The sequence below is a fragment of the Homo sapiens genome, chromosome 11 (genome assembly GCF_000001405.40).
Source record: "Homo sapiens chromosome 11, GRCh38.p14 Primary Assembly".
In the NCBI taxonomy this organism is placed as follows: Eukaryota; Metazoa; Chordata; class Mammalia; order Primates; family Hominidae; genus Homo; species Homo sapiens.
The window spans coordinates 62,013,929-62,032,395 of NC_000011.10; the positions used below are offsets into that span (position 1 = coordinate 62,013,929).

At 47.0% G+C, this 18,467-nt stretch overlaps 3 annotated features.

The window, feature by feature from the left end:
- Positions 11,660–11,759: an enhancer, noted in NCBI's record as "active region_4810". NCBI's record gives its function as "activates an Ori minimal core promoter by ATAC-STARR-seq in GM12878 lymphoblastoid cells {active_cell/tissue: GM12878}" and the evidence as "EXISTENCE:reporter gene assay evidence [ECO:0000049][PMID:35858748]".
- Positions 16,463–17,006: an enhancer, noted in NCBI's record as "OCT4-NANOG-H3K4me1 hESC enhancer chr11:61797863-61798406 (GRCh37/hg19 assembly coordinates)". NCBI's record gives its function as "activates a minimal SCP1, AML or CMV promoter by ChIP-STARR-seq in naive H9 embryonic stem cells {active_cell/tissue: H9 hESC(naive)}" and the evidence as "EXISTENCE:reporter gene assay evidence [ECO:0000049][PMID:30033119]".
- Positions 17,007–17,550: an enhancer, noted in NCBI's record as "H3K4me1 hESC enhancer chr11:61798407-61798950 (GRCh37/hg19 assembly coordinates)". NCBI's record gives its function as "activates a minimal SCP1, AML or CMV promoter by ChIP-STARR-seq in primed H9 embryonic stem cells {active_cell/tissue: H9 hESC(primed)}" and the evidence as "EXISTENCE:reporter gene assay evidence [ECO:0000049][PMID:30033119]".

Sequence of the window (18,467 nt, forward strand, 5' to 3'; positions counted from 1 at the left end):
CCCATCACTTTGGGAGGCTGAGGCAAGCGGATGGCTTGAGCACAGGAGTTTGAGACTAGTCTGGCTCTACAAGAAATACAAAGAAAATTAGCCAGGCGTGGTGGCATGCGCTTGTGGTCCCAGCTACTCAGGAGGCTGAGGAGTTCGAACCAGAGCAACTCCATCTTGAATAGGGGCTGGGTAAAATAAGGCTGAGACCTACTGGGCTGCATTCCCAGGAAGTTAGCCATTCTAAGTCACAGGATGAGATAGGACGTCAGCACAAGATACAGGTCACACAGACCTTGCTGATAAAATGGGTTGTAGTAAAGAAGCCAGCCAAATCCCAACATAACCAAGATGGCAACAAAGTGACCTCTGGTCATCCTCGCAGCTCATTATACGCTAATTATAATCATTAGCAGGCTAAAAGACATCCCACCAACGCCATGACAGTTTACAAATGCCATGGCAATATCAGGAAGTTATACTATACCTACACTGTCTTAAAGTATACCCTATACTGTCTTAAAAGGGGAAGAACCCTCAGTGCTGGAAATTGTCCACCTCTTTCCCGGAAAACTCCCGGAAAAGAAGTAATAGGCCGGGTGTGGTGGCTCAGGCCCGTAATCCCAGCACTTTGGGAGGCCGAGGCAAGCAGATCACGAGGTCAGGAGATCGATACCATCCTGGCTAACACGGTAAAACCCCATCTCTACTAAAAATACAAAAATGAGCCGGGCGTGGTGGCACACGTCTGTAGTCCCAGCTACTCGGGAGGCTGAGGCAGGAGAATCGCTTGAACCCGGGAAGCGGAGGTTACAGTGAGCTGAGATCAAGCCATTGCACTCCAGCCTGGGTGACAGAGTAAAAATAATTAACTATAAGTATTATCAGTCGAGCAGCCCAAGCTGCTTCTCTGTCTATAGAGTAGCCATTCTTTAATCCTTTACTTTCTTAATAAACTTGTTTTCAATATACTCTATGGACTGGCACGGTCCAAGAACCCTTTCTAGGGGTCTGGATTGGGACCCCTTTCCAGTAACACAAACATGTTTTTTCCACTGTACAGCATTTAAAACCAAAGATATTGCTTCCAATAGATACTCTCACAATCCATTTTAGTGAAGGTTCCTCAGGGAGCTGATGACACAAATCTACAGAGTGCGGGTTTGTAGATTTGATGATCTACATAATGGAACAGTGCTTCACACTGTGCTCTCTGGTGTTAGTAGTTAGTTGGTTTTGCCTTCCCTGACATTGGCTACCTTCTTGGTAACCACAGGTCTCAGAGATATATCTGTTGCCCTGGCATAATTTTTCACTGAACTCCACAGGGAGAGGGTCTATGAGGCATGTCTGGCCTTCCTTCCTGTCCTGGTCAGGAATTCAGGTTTTCAGGTTTTTCTGGGGTCACCTTGGCCAAGAGGGTCTATTCAGTTGGTTGGGGGCTTAAGATTTTATTTTTGGTTTATAAATCTAACAAGCACGGCTGGGCGTGGTGGCTCACACCTATAATCCCAGCACTTTGGGAGGCTGAGGAGGGTGGATCACCTGAGGTCGGGAGTTGAAAACCAGTCTGACCAACATGGAGAAACCCCGTCTCTACTAAAAATACAAAATTAGCCAGGCGTGGTGGCGTGTGCCTGTAATGCCAGCTACTGGGGTGGCTGAGGCAGGAGAATCGCTTGAACCCAGGAGGCGGAAGTTGCAGTGAGCCGAGATGGCGCCATTGCACTCCAGCCTGGGCTACAAGAGTGAAACTCCATCTGGAAACAAACAAACAAAAACCCTAATAACCACAATAAACATATAATCCCTTGGTTGTTGCCATCTGTGATAGTTAAAACGAAAGTGAAAGGAAGTGCTGGACCCTGAGGCTGGACCATGCTCAGATGTGGGTCTGCCTGAACTCAGGTCACTAGTCTCAAAATGACTGCTGGCTGCCCTTTCTTATCACTGTGCAATGGACGGCTCTCAGTTAACAATGACTCTAAGCCACTGGCATTTTCAGGGCATCTCCGTAGTCACATGGTGGTCTACAAGCATATAAAAGGTGAACCACACCACTCCACATAAAAGCAACGGACCAGCCGGGCACAGTGGCTCATGTCTGAAATTCCAGCACGTTGAGAGGCCAAGGTGGGATGATCCCTTGAGCCTGGGAGCTCAAGACCAGCCTGGGGAACATAGTGAGATTCCCGTCTCTACAAAAAATTAAAAAAATTAGCACCTGTGGTACAAGTGGTGGATCAGTTGAGCCCAGGAGAGCAAGGCTGCAGTGAGCTATGATGGCGCCATTGCATTCCAGTCCGGGCAACAGAGTGAAACCCTGTCTTAAAAAAAAAAAGAAAAAGAAAGAAAGTGATTGACCACCCTGAGATTTCCTGTGGGTGGCAAGCCACCCAGGCGCTGAGGCAAGAGACCGAGGACACGAGCTGTTCCAGTATAATAAAATATAAAACAAGAATAGTTATACCAGATATAGATCTTAGATATGATTATATATGATTATCATTAATCATTAATTTGTAGCAATTACTCTTTATTCCAATATTATAATAATCCTCGCTCTATAATCATAACCTAGGAAAAACCAGGCCATACAGAGATAGGAGCTGAGGGGACATAGTGAGGTGTGAACAGAAGACAAGAGTGTGAGCCTTCTGTTATGTCCAGACAGGGCCACCAGAAGGGCTCCTTGGTCTAGCGGTGATGCCAGCGTCTGGGAAGACACCCGTTGCCAGGCGGACCGTGGTCTAGCGGTAGCGAAAAGTGTCAAGGAACAACACCCGCTACTTAGCAGACTGGGAAAGGGAGTCTCCTTTTCCCTGGGGGAGTTTAGAGAAGACTCTGCTCCTCCACCTCTTGTGGAGGGCCTGACATCAGTCAGGACTGCCTGCAGTTATCTGGAGGCCTAACCGTCTCCCTGTGATGCTGTGCTTCAGTGGTCACGCTCCTAGTCTGCCTTCATGTTCCATCCTGTACACCTGGCTCTGCCTTCTAGATAACAGTAGAAAATTAGTGAAAGTACTAAAAGTCTCTAATATGCAGAAATAATGGCATAAGCTGTCTTTCTCTTTGTCTCCTCTCTCTCTCTCTGCCTCAGCTGCCAGGCAGGGAAGGGCCCCCTGTCCAGTGGACACGTGACCCACGTGACCTTACCTATCATTGGAGATGACTCACACTCTTTACCCTGCCCCTTTTGCTTTGTATCCAATAAATAACAGCACAGCCAGACATTCAGGGCTACTACCGGTCTCCGTGAATTGGTGGTAGTGGTCCCCGGGGCCCAGCTGTCTTTTCTTTTATCTTTTTGTCTTGTGTCTTTATTTCTATACTCTCTCGTCGCCACACACAGGGAGAAGCCCACCGACCCTGTGGGGCTGGACCCTACAATTTCCCAGACGGATGATTCATTCCCTTCACCCATTTCTTGATCTCTCAGCTCCTGGCCCAGCTGGCTTGCCACATGCTCTGTGGGGGGCAGGCCTTTGCAAACCTATCCCCAGAGTCTAAGGAAGCTGAAAGGCCAAAGAAAGAGGCTGACCAATCTAGTTTCTTAGAAAGAAACGTTTAATAGGAACTTAGAAGCCATGTCTGAGTCTCGGACAGCAGCAAGACAAGATGGTGGACTGCCGCCATTATTCCTTTGCTTTTTTTTCTTTTTTTGAGACAGGCTCTCACTCTGTCACCCAGGCTGGAATGCAGTGGTGCCATCATTGTTGTTCACTGCAGCCTCAATCTCCTGGGCTCAAGTGATCCTCCCACCTCAGCCTCCTAAGCGGTTGGGACTACAGGCATGCATTATGACACTCAGCTAATTATTTTATTTTTTGAAGAAATGGGGTCTCACTTTGTTGCAGTGCCTGGTCTCGAATTCCCGGGCTCAAGTGATCCTCCCACCTCGGCCTCCCAAAGTGCTGGGATTATAGCTGGGATTATAGGCGTGAGCCATATCATGACTGGCTGATATGATTTCTTAAAGCGGGAGCCAGACGTCCAGGGAGGACATCTCTTTGACCCAGGATGGCAGAGCTGGCCTTCCTGAGTCCTGGATCCCCACTCCTATGCTTGTACTAAGTCCAGTCAGCTCTCTCTAACTTCAGCAGGAAGTAAAGATGCAAAAGCCTCGAGGCACCAAGAGCCCTGCCCTGCATGGTATCAGCACCCTATCACCGTGGCCTGGGGTCTAACTGCCTAGGCTTCCTCTTCTGGGACTTGCCAATTAAAAGGCTGATTTTCCAGAAGGTTGACACCCGAGGTTTTTTTTGTTTTTTTGTTTTTTTTTGAGACGGAGTTTCGCTCTTGTTGCTCTTGTTGCCCAGGCTGGAGTGCAATGGCGATCTCGGCTCAGTGCGATCTCGGCTCAGTGCGATCTCGGCTAACCACAACCTCCACCTCCCAGGTTCAAGCAATTCTCCTGCCTTAGCCTCCCAAGTAGCTAGGATTACATGCATGAGCCACCACGCCCGGCTAGACACCCAAGGGTTCTAATCCCTCACCCTATCCCCTCAAGTTCCTTGTTCTGCTGCCTAGAGGTCACAGTGGCTTCTGACCTCCAAGCCAATTCAGCAGCTGTTGGCTGGGCACTTGCTCTGCAATAGTGCTGGGTTCTGGAGGGGACAGACTATGTCCTTTTGGCAATGCCATGCCCTACTCTTCTTAGAAGCTTACAGTTTATTAGGAGAAACTACAGCATGCACCCAGCCAGCCACAGGACAGGCAGCAAGTGATTGTAGCAGGAGGAATCTGAGAAGGCATGTCTAACTGATTCATTCACTTACAGCCCCAAACTTATTTCCCATCTGCCCACGTCGATTCTAAACCCTGAAAATGTAGTCCTTTGTCTTTAAGGAGCAAAGAGTCTTCCTAGAGAGACAGAAACACGAATAAAAAATGTACTAGCGGCCGGGCGCGGTGGCTCACACCTGTAATCCCAGCACTTTGGGAGGCCGAGGCAGGTGGATCACCTGAGGTCAGGAGTTCGAGACCAGCCTGGCCAACATGATGAAACCCCATCTCTACTAAAAACACAAAAATTAGCCAGGCATGGTGGCGCCTGCTTGTAATCCCAACTACTCAGGAACCTGAGGCAGGAGAATCGCTTGAACTTGGGAGGCGGAGGTTGCAGTGAGCTGAGATCTTGCCACTGTAGTGAGATTCTGTCTCAAAAAAAAAAAAAAAAAAAAGTACTAGCCATGTCAGGAGTGTTGGTAAGCAGGAGCTTCCTGGAGGGGGAGGGACATGGGACTAGAAAGGAAGGAGAAGTGATATTGCATAGACCTAGCTCCAGTTCCAATATGGCCTTGGGATTCAAGGTCAGAGAAAAGAGAAGGGGGAAGAAAGGGCAGATTGACACAATGTTATTCAAACCTGAGAAAGAGGTAAGAGAGGAGAAGAGATGAAAGCTAGAGACAAAAGGGAAGTGTGAGGGGAAACATGAGGGTAATGAACAGTAACCAAGATGAGGTCAAAAGAAGATGATCAAGCAGAAAGAAAAGCATCTGAGAATAATGGGGCCTGTGGCCAAGAACAAAGGCCCCAAAGCCAGCACAGTCTCCTGGGAAGCAGTCATGCTTTCAGCCCCCAGGACTGGGTTACCCAAAGGGGACTGAGAACTCCTGCCAAACACAGTGACAAGCACCCTGCCATCTGGCTGGGCCAAGAAATAGGGCTCTATGGCTATCCAAATAGTCACTTAATGAAGACTTTTGACTTAATGAATTAGTGGGCTTTCTTAAACAAGTGACATGTTCAGGGACTTTGACTCCAGCAGGGATGTGCAGTCGCCAGGCCACTGAGACCACTGCAGGTGTTCGCCAAGGCAATTCTGGACTTTGGAGTGTCCTGGTTAAAAATAAAATGGTCAGAGCCTACTTTAGTTGTCTGTATTTCACTGTTTTTTTTTTCTTTCTGAGACAGAGTCTCACCCTGTCACCCAGGCTGGAGTACAGTGGTGCAATCTTGGCTCACTGCAACCTCCGCCTCCTGGATTCAAGTGAGACTCCTGCCTCAGCCTCCCAAGTAGCTGGGATTACAGGCACATGCCACCACGCCTGGCTAATTTTTGTATTTTTAGTAGAGACAGAGTTTTGCCATGTTGGCCAGGCTGGTCTTGAACTCCTGACCTCAAGTCATCCACTTGCCTTAGTCTCCCAAAGTGCTGGGATTACAGACGTGAGCCACTGCACCTGTATTTCACAGTTTCTGAAAGCCATATTTTATCTGGGCCAGAGTGACAAGGGACAGTAGGACACCCTGGTTAAAGTGCAGTCTCTGTGCTTGGGCAGCCTGGGTTTATATCCCTACTCTGTTACTTACTAATGGTGAGAACCTTAGCCTCTATATTATACTCCACGAAATGAGTACAATAATATTACCCACCTCATAGAGTTGTGGATATTAAATGAGTGAAATACATGCTAAGTGCTTAGAATAGTGCCTGGCACATAGAAAGTGCTCTCTCCATGTTAGTAATTGTGACTTATTAGAATTCATAAGCATGGCTGGGTGCGGTGGCTCACACCTGTAATCCCAGCACTTTGGGAGGCTGAGGTGGGAGGATTACCTGAGGCTGGGAGTTCAAGACCAGCCTGGTCAACATGGTGAAACCCTGTCTCTACAAAAAGTACAATAATTAGCTAGGCATGGTGGTAGGTGCCTGTAATCCCAGCTACTCGGGAGGCTGAGGCAGGGGAATCACTTGAACCCAGGAGGCAGAGGTTGCACTGATCTGAGATCATGCCATTGCACTCCAGCTTGGGCAACAAGAGCAAAACACCATCTCAAAAAAAAAAAAAAAAAAGAATTCCTAAGCACAGGAGATTAGGACAAGAAGTAGAGGGAGGCCCTAAGTTGAGGAAGAAGAAGTTATTTTGAGGAGGCTGCATAGTGGAGTGGTCAGAGATGGGAAGGGACTTCCCACTGAAGCCGGGGCTTTGGGCGTGGTCATTCCTGTGGTTCTCGGACATTTCTCATTGAACTGAGTCCAAGAGACAGACTCAAGAGCCTCATCCATTGACTAAGTAATTAATAATGCCTGCTCTGGTGAATCTATATGTGTGCCCTGGGCTTTACAGCTGCCCTCTCTTCCTGAAGACCTATAATATGGCCCAGCTATTCACATTTGAAGAAACAAAATCAGATTTGAGGTCTGCCACTTGCTAACATTTTGACTGTCTTTGCTGTCAGTTTCTGCCTGTGCTGTGGAGAGCTGTTATGAAGGCTCAGTGGGTAAATCAAGCAAAGACAAACAAAACTGGATCCCTGATAAACACAACTTACAGGCAGGATTCCAATAAACTGAAGCCCAACCTGGGAAATATAAGTGATGATATTAACGAGACTCTGTAAGATAATTCCCTTATGGATTAGAGGTAAGGAAGGACTCCTCAAAAAACATCACAAGTTCAATCATGAGACATAAAATGGATTAATTTGATCCCCCCTAACTAAAGGATTTCTGTAAAACAAAGCACACCATGGTCAAAAGTAACAAACAGATGAGAGACTGGGAGAAGCTATTGCAATATCTGCAGCCAAAAGGGGACTAATATCTAGAATATACAAGAAAAAGAGAACCCAGTGGGAAAATGGGCAATGAGTATGAATAGGCAATTTGCAGATTAAGAAACCTAAAGGTGTAATCCCAGCACTTCGGGAGGCTGAGGCGGGCAGATCATGAGGTCAGGAGATCAAGACCATCCTGGCCAAAATGGTGAAACCCTGTCTCTACTAAAAATACAAAAAAATTAGCCAGGCATTGTGGTGGGCACCTGTAGTCCCAGCTACTCAGGAGGCTGAGGCAGGAGAATAGGCATGAACCCAGGAGGTGGAGCTTGCAGTGAGCTGAGATCGCGCCACTGCACTCCAGTCTGGGTGACACAGCAAGACTCCGTCTCAAAAAAAAAAAAAAAGAAACCTAAAGGGCAACATAAATATGTGAAAGATGTTCCCTGGTCATAAAGTAATTGCAAATTAAACCAACAATGAGATATTGTTTTCCACCTATTTGGCAAAAATGATAAAGCTAGAGAATGCCAAGTAGGGTAGGTGTGGTGGGTATAAGTGCCCTACTGTATTGATGGTCATAGGTAGGTGGTGTGGACATTCTGCAGAGTGAGCTGCCCTACTTGCCAGACTGTCTATATGTCTACCACACAACCAAGAATCCACTTCTGGGAACATATATATATATCTATGTATGTATATACATACACACACACACACACACACACGTCGCATAGGGGCCTAAAGACACATGATAAAGATGCTCTTCATCACAGAGACTAGCTTGTGAAGGCAGGTGTGATATTGTGACATAATAAAAATTTGGTCTCTGCCCCCAGTTCCTGGAACAGAACATCCCAAACCCTTAAAATTTCCTGGGTGATAGAAGTTTCTATTGTTCTAATGAAGTGACTCTTGCTGGGCTTCCTGGTCACCAGAAAGACCAAGCCATGGTTAGAAGCTTGGGACTTTCAGCTGCACTGTCCCCGACCCCCCCAAACTCTGGGGTGGGGAGAGGAGCTGAGAGTTGAGCTAATCACCAATGGCCCGTGATTTAATCATGCCTAAGCAATGAGGCCTCTGTAAAAATCCAAAAGGGCTGGGTTTGGAGAGCCTCAGAGTTTCTGAACGTGTGGAGGTGCTGGAGGGTGATGTTCCCAAAAAGGGCATGAAGTTCCATGTCCCTCCCCCTATATGTCATCCTGCGTACTTCTTCATCTGGCTGTTCATCTGTATCCTTTGCAATATACTTTATAATAAACCAGGAGTGTTTCCCTGAGTTCTGTGAGCCATTCTAGCAAATGGTCGAACCCAAGGAGGGGGTTGTGGGAAGCCTGGATTTATAGGCGGTTGGTCAGAAGTAGGAATGGTCCACAGTTGCAACTGGACTTTGAAGTGGGGGCAGTCTCGTGAGACTGAGCTAACCTGTGGAATCTGATGCTAACTCCACGTAACTAGTGTCAGAATTGAACTGAATGATAGGTTACGCAGCTGGTGTCGGAAATTGGTTGGGGTGGGAAAAGCCCACTGATTTTGGTGAGGGGAAGTGTGATGAGTGTTGAGAGTATACCAGGAGAAGACACTTTGATTTTCCTGTTCCACAGCAGGGAACTAAAGGCAATCCAGCGAGTTCTTCACTGGGGGAAATGGACAGGTGAAAGGCGGTGGCTGCACTGGATGGAGCACCACACAGCTGTGAGAAGGGGTTGTAGATGCACACACAGCAACACGGGTGGACCTTACCAACCTAGTGCAGAAGAAGAACGTCTATATATTCTAATTTGCATAAACATACCTGACATAAATATATATTCGAATACATGTATACAAACCTGAACAACAGATGCTGGCAAAGATGCAGAGAAAAAGGAACACTTTTACACTGTTGGTGGGAATGTAAATTAGTTCAACCATTGTGGAAGACAGTGTGGTGATTCCTCAGAGATCTAGAAGCAGAAATACCATTTGATCCAGCAATCCCATTACTGAGTATATACCCAAAGGTATAGAAATCATTCTGTTTTAAATGTACATCCTCACATATGTTCATTGCAGCACTATTCACTATAGCAAAGACATGGAATCAACCTAAATGCTCATCCATGATAGACTGATAAAGAAAATGTGGTATATATACACCGTGGAATACTATGCAGCCATAGAAAGGAATGAGGTCATGTCCTTTGCAGGGACGTGAATGGAGCTGGAAGCCATTATCCTCAGCAAACTAATACAGGAACAGAAAACCAAACGCTGATTGTTCTCACTTATAAGTGGGAGCTGAGTGATGAGAACACATGGACACAAGAGGGGAACAACACACACTGGGGTCTGTAGGAAGGTTAGAGGGGGAAGGAGAACATCAGGAAGAATAGCTAATAGATGCCGGGCTTAATACCTAGGGAATGGGTTGATCTGTGCAGCAAACCACCATGGCACTGCACATGTACCCTGGAACTTAAAAGTTGAGAAAAAAAAAGTGATCTTAGTAAGTGCAAAAGACTGGAATGAGATCTTCCAATCACGTCTGACTCAACCTCTAATTCTTGCTGTGAAAATGTATATGATATATTAAAAAATCAAATAAAAATGGCTTTTAGAATCGTATAAAAAAGAAAATAACCTGAAATTCCAAGAAAACAGGCAAAGATGAACATTAAAAGCATTAGGATGGTTGTTTGTAGGGGAGAAGGGAATAGGAATTGTGATAAAAGAAAATAGCTTAAATAGCTTTTTTTTTAGACAGGGTCTCACTCTGTCGCGAAGGCTGGAGTGCAGTGGTGTGATCTCGGTTCACTGCAACCTCTGCCTCCTGGGTTCAAGTGATTCTCTTGTCTCAGCCTCCTGAGTAGCTGGGATTATGGGCATGTGTCACCACACCTGGCTAATTTTTGTATTTTTATTATTTTTATTTTTATTTTTATTTTTTTTGAGATGGAGTTTCACTCTTGTCACCCAGGCTGGAGTGCAATGGCGCACTCTCGGCTCACACAACAACTGCCTTTCAGGTTCAAGCGATTCTCCTGCCTCAGCCTCCCCAGTAGCTGGGATTATAGGTGCCCATCATCACATCCAGCTAATTTTTTGTAATTTTAATAGAGACGGGATATCACCACGTTGTCCAGGCCGGTCTTGAACTCCTGACCTCAGGTGATCCACCTGCCTCGGCCTCCCAAAGTGCTGGGATTACAGGTGTGAGCCACCAAGCCCGGCCATAATTTTTGTATTTTTAGTAGAGACAGGGTTTTGCCATGTTGGCCAGGCTGGTCTCGAACTCCCGACCTCAGGTGATCCACCCACCTCGGCCTCCCAAAGTGCTGGGATTACAGGCGTGAGCCACCGCGCCTGGCCATAATTTTTGTATTTTTCCATGTTGCCATGGAACATGGCATGTTGTATTTTTAATAGAGACGGGGTATCACCATGTTGGCCAGGCTGGTCTCGAACTCCTGACCTCAGGTGATCCACCCACCTCAGCCTCATAAAGTGCTGGGATTACAGGCGTGAGCCACCATGTCTGGCCAGAAAATAGCTATTTTTAAAAGGAGTGCAAAGTGAGGGTTTCGCACAGAAACTGGTATGTGGTAAGTGCTCCCTAAGTGTCAGCTATTACTAATTAATTAAGAAACAAGTAGTCCAAAGACAGTCAGTGTGTTTCCCCAAGCACACATCTTGGTAAGTTCCATGAAGAGGCATGGTCTGTAACTGTCTTGCCATGATCATTTTTTCAGGAGCCTAGAGCAGTGTTTGGCAGTCGATATGTCTTGAATGATTGAACAAAAGCTAGTTTGTGACAGAGCCACCCAGCGGAATGTTCACCTCGTCCAACTCTTCTACACAATCGAGAGAAACATTCTTTTCTAATTTCCTTCCTTTTTTAGAAAAAATTAATAGACCTTGGTTCTGTCCCCAACGGTCTGAATTAGGGGTTAATTAGGGTTAACCACATTTTGTATTTATATGTCCTTTCCTATGGAGACATCAAAGCCCAGAAATGTCACCTCAATGCCCATACAGCTTTCCCCTCACCTCCAAGAGTGACAGAGTGAAATTTAGAATCCCAGGCCCTTGCAGGTAAGTCTGACAGTTTCAGTGAGCTCTGGACGGGGAGGTGCCCACAGGGTTTGTTGGTCCAGAAAGCAACAGAACTCAGTAGGCTAAAGGGAAGTGAGTCAGTGTCTTAATGCACATGGATTTCAAAACAGTAGGGACTGCAGACTTCATGGTGTGAAGAAACGCATCTGACAGCTTTGTTATTACATCAGGAAAGCTGCAGTCAGCAGACACGTACGGGATGTGGGAGGTTTGTTTTGACCACACCCCTGTCAATAGTTACAAGATAAGCCAAAGCAAGAAGCACAGACACCATGCCTGGCAGAAAAGCGGCCGTTTGCGGAACTATTTTATGTAACACAAAACCACGTTTTCGGTCCGTAAGGCAGGGTCTCCACCTCATTGTGTGTGCACAGATCAAGCAATGACGATGGCTCTTGCCTACAGGAAGCAGCAGAATGTCCATGACCTTCCCCAGTGAGATCATCACTTCTACGGTGCCTGGGACTTCCTTACCTCTTTTTAAAGATCTCCCTCTGTGACAGCCCCCACCTTGCTCACGGAGGACTTAGTCTTCTTATTTGAGTCTTTAGAGCCAGCAGTGGCTAGCATGTTAGACTCACCTGGAGAGCTTTTAAAAAATCCCAGTACTTGGCTGCACTCAGACTGATTAAATTAGAACCTCTGGGCACACACACACAAAAAAATGCTAGACGCGATGTCTCACGCCTGTAATCCCAGCACTTTGGGAGGCCGAGGCAGGTGGATCATTTGAGGTCAGGAGTTCAAGACCAGCCTGGGCAACATGGCAAAAACTCATCTCTACTAAAAATATAAAAATTAATCAGATGTGGTGGTGCATACCTGTAATCCCAACTACTCAGGAGGCTGAGTCAGGAGAATCTCTTGAACCCGGGAGGCAGAATTTGCAGTGAGCCGAGATAGCACCACTGCCTTCTAGCCTGGAAGACAGAGCTAGACTCCATCTCAAAAATAATAATAATAATAAAAAGAACCTCTGAGGGTTGGGCTCAGGCAACAGTATTTTTTAAGCTCCCCAAGGTGGTCCTGACCAGGCCAAGATTGAGTAGCCTTGCTTTTGTGTCTTGCTGATAGGATGCATTCAGTAGATTTATTAAACAAAACCTTATTCCTTCAGTGAAGGCCAGTGACAGAGCCCTTGTTCTGGCCATTTTACTGGGCCAAGTTATAAGTAAGAATCATCTGCCAAGGCACAGGCCTATTGGCCCTCATCTCCTGTGGTTCCCAAAGCAAAACTGTTACTGGATGGAAGGTCTTGACTGTGAGTTGTCCAGGTTCTTGGCATGTTGAGCAAAGAATTGAACAAAATGCACAAAGCAACAAAAGAATGAAACAACGAAAGACAAACAAAGCAACACGAGAACGGAGTAATGAAAGCACAGATTTATCGAAGCAAAAGTACATTCCACAGAGTAGGAGCAGGCTTGAGCAAGTGGCTCAAGAGCCACCCCACCTCTCTCATTTAAGGATTTTTATTAGGCTAAAGGAATTTGGAAACACCGCTAGGTGCCCTTTAGAGGCCTCCAATTTGTTACACCCTATGAAGGATTGGCCTGTGACCAGTCAGAGGCTGAAGTGGAGCCTCAGCCTGCAGTCAATCAGAGGCTGAAGTAAAAACTTCTGTCTTGCCATCACAGGGGTGAGGTGTGGCCTGTGTGCTGCCTAATCTTGCCTAGAACTGGCTGCACCTGCTGTTCTTTTGCTTCTATCTTAACTCTTGGTTTACCCTCCCTGTTCTTCTGCCTCAATATGGCTTTGCTGAGGGCACAATTGGGGCCCAAGGGCCTTCAGACTCAACAGTATGGGGCCTTGGCATTGCTCCTCCCGGATTTGCCATTCACCTGGTGCTAATCTGAGAGGACCCCAAGAGAACCCACTTCTGTAGTTCCCCATGAGGTGTCCAGCTTCTGGGGAAACTGTTGTCCAGTGCAGTAGCTCCAGGGTTAGGATGGCAGGGGCTGGGAGCTGCAGCTGGAATTCCAGCAGAACCGGGAGGGTCCCTCTCCTTGGAGCTGTCATTCCTCGTTCTCCAGCTTTCCTTGACTCCAAAACACCATCAAGGCTGACTGTTCCGTATGACAAAGATAGGATTGGATTTAAAGGAGAAAATATAACTTGCTTCTCAGGTAACCGAGAAGGTGCAAGGGGTAGCCCAGTTGGAGCTGCAAATGCCAGTTACAGGGTAAGTAGCAATTGTCGCATTGTTTGGGTTCTGCTCTCTAGAGAAACCCTTCAGATATTGTAATGACAGGAGCAGCCCAAACTGGGTCTACTCTGTTGATAGCAAAATGTTGAGTTACTTTTTAGGTATAATAGAGCCCAAAACTGTAAGTCATGGAGCCTGGGCATGCACGATAGAAGACTTAACCTCGAACAACACCAATACCCAAACCAATAATTCCTCCCCTCTGAACCAAGAAGACCAGAACAGGATCAGACATGATTGGAATCTAAAAGAGGCAGGAACACTTTTGGAAGCAAGGGGTCCAGGCGAGGCGTGGTGGCTCACACCTGTAATCCCAGCACTTTGGGAGGCTGAGGCGGGTGGGTCACCTGTCAGGAGTTCCAGACCATCCTGGCCAACATGGTGAAACTTGTCTCTACGAAAAATACAAAATTAGCCAGGCGTAGTGGTGCATGCCTGTAGTCCCAGCTAGTCGGGAGGCTGAGGCGGGAGAATCACTTGAACCTGGGAGGCAGAGGTTGCAGTGAGCCGAGATCGCCCCACTGTACTCTAGCCTGGGCAACAGAGCTAGACTCCGTCTCAAGAAAAACAAAAAACAAACAAACAAACAAAAAACAACCTAGGATCAATAGAAAGGAAATGTCTGGGTTTCCTTTGTGGAGAAAAAGGCTGTGGAGACCAAAGTTCTTATTGTGCAGAGGAAGTCTTCAGGTAGCAGGTTTCAGAGAGAATAGATTATAAATGCTTCTTATCAGGTCTGTGTTGATTTTATATGAGGCATGTCGGACCCCCACTTCCCATCATGGCCTGAACCAGTCTCTCAGGTTACATTTTAAGAGCACCCTGGCTGAGAAGGAAGTCCATTCAGATGGTCGGGGGCCTTAGAATTTTATTTTTGGTTTATAGTGTACATCTGGCAGCTTGATAACAATATCTGAGACAAGAGATCACAACAGCTAATACTTTTTTTTTTTTTTTTTGAGACAGAGTCTTGCTCTGTCGCCAGGCTGGAGTGCAGTGGCGCAATCTCAGCTCACTACAGCCTCCGCCTCCCGGGTTCAAGCAATTCTCCTGCCTCAGCCTCCTGAGTAGCTGGGACTACAGGCACCCACCACCATGCCCAGCTAATTTTTGTGTTTTTAGTAGAGATGGGGTTTCACCATGTTGGCCAGGCTGGTCTCGAACTCCTGACCTCAAGTGATCCGCCCACCACGGCCTCCCAAAGGGCTGAGAATACAGGCATGAGCCACCACACCTAGCCCACATAGCTAAAACTTTTTTTTGAGTCATGGTAAAATGTACATAAGATAAAGTGTACCATTTAACTTTTTTTTTTTTTCTGAGATGGAGTTTTGCTCTTGTTGCCCAGGCTGGAGTGCAATGGCGCGATCTCGGCTCACCGCAACCTCCGCCTCCCGGGTTCAAGTGATTCTCCTGCCTCAGCCTCCCAAGTAGCTAGGATTACAGGCATGTGCCACCACGCCCAGATAATTTTGTATTTTTAGTAGAGATGGGGTTTCTCTGTGTTGGTCAGGCTGGTCTCGAACTCCCGACCTCAGGTGATCCGCCCACCTCGGCCTCCCAAAGTGCTGGGAGTACAGGCATGAGCCACCATGCCCTGCAATCACCATCATTTTTTAGATGAGAAAACTGAGGCACAAAAATGTTATTTAGCTTGTTTGGGTACCCAGCTAGCAAGAGATAGAGCCGGGACTCCACCCTTTCTAGTGTGTGGTGGGCTCAGAGTCCAGGACTATTAGCACAGGAAGGGACCAGGGCCACCATGTGTCCAATTTGTTCATTTTACAAATAGGGAAACTGAGGACTTCAAATGTTACATGACTTGTCCCATAGCTATAGTGACCATATTATCCGAACCCCAAAATCAAGATGCATGGTTTGATTTAGGAAAAAAAGACTTCTTGGGGCCGGGCGTGGTGACTCACTCCTGTAATCCCAGCACTTTGGGAGGCCGAGGTGGGCGGATCACCTGAGGTCAGGAGTTGGAGACCAGACTGACCAACAGGGCGAAACTCTGTCTCTACTAAAAATACAAAATTAGCCAGGCCTGGTGGCACATGCTGTGGTCCCAGCTACTTGGGAGGCTGAGGCAGGAGAATCGCTTGAACCCGGGAGGCAGAGGTTGCGGTGAGCCTAGATCGCGCCATTGCACTCCAGCCTGGGCAAAAAGAGTGAAACTTCGTCTCAAAACAAACAAACAAACAAACAAACAAACAAAAACTTCTTGGTTATAAAAAAAAAAAAAAGTCAAGCTGGGACATGTAGTTTGAATGGGCCCCCAAGTAACAGTGATGCTGTATCATCTTGACGGTTACATAGTGGGGTTACATAATGGTTATATAATGGGGTTAATAATGATTATATAATGGGGTCACCGAGACAAACTGTGCTATTGTCATATAACAAGAAACATATATTTGGTGTTCCTCCCAGTTCCTGGCACAGAGCTTCTAAAACCTTTAGAATTTCCTGAGTGATAAGAGGAGAGGAGCAGCTTTTGTTATTCGTAATGAGCCCCTTTTCACCATACTTGAGTTCATGCTAATGAGGTGACTCTTGGAGAATGGGACTGGTAACCAGAAGAACCAATCAAGTGGCCGGCACGATGGCTCATGTATGTAGTCCCAGCAGTACTTTTAGAGGCTGAGGCAGGCGGATCACTTGAGCTCTGGAGCTGGAGACCAGCCTGGGCAACAGAGTAAAACCCCTTCCCTAGAAAAAATACAAAAAGTTAGCAGGACATGGTGGCGTGTGCCTGTAGTCCCAGCTACTTGGGAGGCCAAGGTGGGAGGATAGCTTGAGCCCCAGGAGGCTGAGGCTGCAGTGAGCAGTGATCACAGCACTGCACTCCATGCTGGATGACAGAGCAAGACCCTGTCTCAACAGGCAAACCAACAATAGAGCCAACCGTTGGGCGTAGTGGTTCATGCCTATAATTCCAGCACTCTGGGAGACTGAGGTGGGCAGATCACTTGAGATCAGGAGTTCACCACTGCACGCGGCCTTGGGGAGCAGACTTTTTTTTTTTTTTTTTTTTTGAGATGGGGTTTTGCTCTTGTTGCCCAGGCTGGAGTGCAATGGCATGATCTCGGCTCACCACAACCTCCGCCTCCCGGGTTCAAGCGATTCTCCTGCCTCAGCCTCCCAAGTAGCTAGGATTACAGGCATGTGCCACCATGCCCAGCTAATTTTGTATTTTTAGTGGAGAGGGGTGTTTCTCCATTTTGGTCAGGCTGGTCTTGAACTCCCGACCTCAGGTGATCCGCCCGCCTCAGCCTCCCAAAGTGCTGGGATTACAGGCATGAGCCACCGTGCCCGGCTGGGGAGCAGACTTTTTAAGGTTGTGGGGAGCCAGTGAGCCGGGACTGCTGATTGGTGAGGGATGAAATCACAGGGAGCCAAAGCAGTCTTCCTGCACTGAGTCAGTTGCTGGGTTGGGGCCACAAGATCAGACAAGCCAGTTTATCCACTGGGATGGCACCAGCCAACCCAAGTGCAGGATCTGCAAAATATCTCAAGCACTGATCTTAGGAGCAGTTTAGAGAGGGTCAGAATCTTGTAGCCTCCAGCTGCGTGACTCCTAAACCATAATTTCTAATCCCGTGGCTAATGTTAGTCTAGTTTCCAGGCAAGAAGGAAGTCTGCTTTGGGAAAGGGCTGCTACCATCTTTGTTTAAACTATAAACTACAAAATAGGTTTCTCCCAAAGTTAGTTCAGCCTACACCCAGGAATGAACAAAGACAGCTTGGAGGTTAGAAGCAAGATGGAATCACTTAAGTTGGATCTCTTTCACTGTCTCAGTCATAATTTCGCAAAGGTGGTTTCATTCCTGCTAGCATTCATCTGTGCAAGCTTCCAGCTTGCAGGCTGCTCTTTGTTAGAATATGATTTGGGGCTGCTTTTCGTTAAAAAGAAAAGCCTTGGTCAGGCATGGTGACTCACACCTGTAATCCCAGCACTTTGGGAGGCTGAGGTGGGTGGATCATGAGGTCAGGAGATCAAGACCATCCTGTCCAAAATGGTGAAACCCTGTCTCTACTAAAAATACAAAAATTAGCTGGGTGTGGTTGTGCGCACCTGTCATCCCAGCTACTTGGGAGGCTGAAGCAGGAGAATCGCTTGAACCTGGGAGGCAGAGTTTGCAGTGAGCTGACATTGTGCCACTGCACTCCAGCCTGGCGAAAGAGCGAGACTCTGTCTCAAAAAAAAAAAAAAAGAAAAAGAAAAAAGAAAAGCCTTACCGATGACTCCCATGCCCTTGCTATCTGCCTAAGTAATTTCTTCTTAACTCCTATATTGATAGGTCCGTTGCCCACTGTGCCTGGCGAGTCAGTATGCAGAGACAACAGGTTACAGCAGAGAAAGAGGTTTAATTGTAAGGCACCGAACCAGGAGATAGGAGGAAACCTCAAATTTATTTTCCCAAGAAATTTCGGGCTAGTGTTTTAAGAGCTTTGGAGTGGGCTGAAGTATGGAGATTGCTGGTTTGTCGAAGAGTGCAGGGTGAAGTCACGGGACAGGAAGATAAACTGTATTCTCATGCTGATTCCTTTCTTCTGTGGGAGTCTTCAAACTGGTCAGCGGGCATGCCTGTAATACCAGCACTTTGGGAGGTCGAGGCGGTTGGATCACCTGAGGTCAGGAGTTCGAGACCATCCTGGCCAACATGGTGAA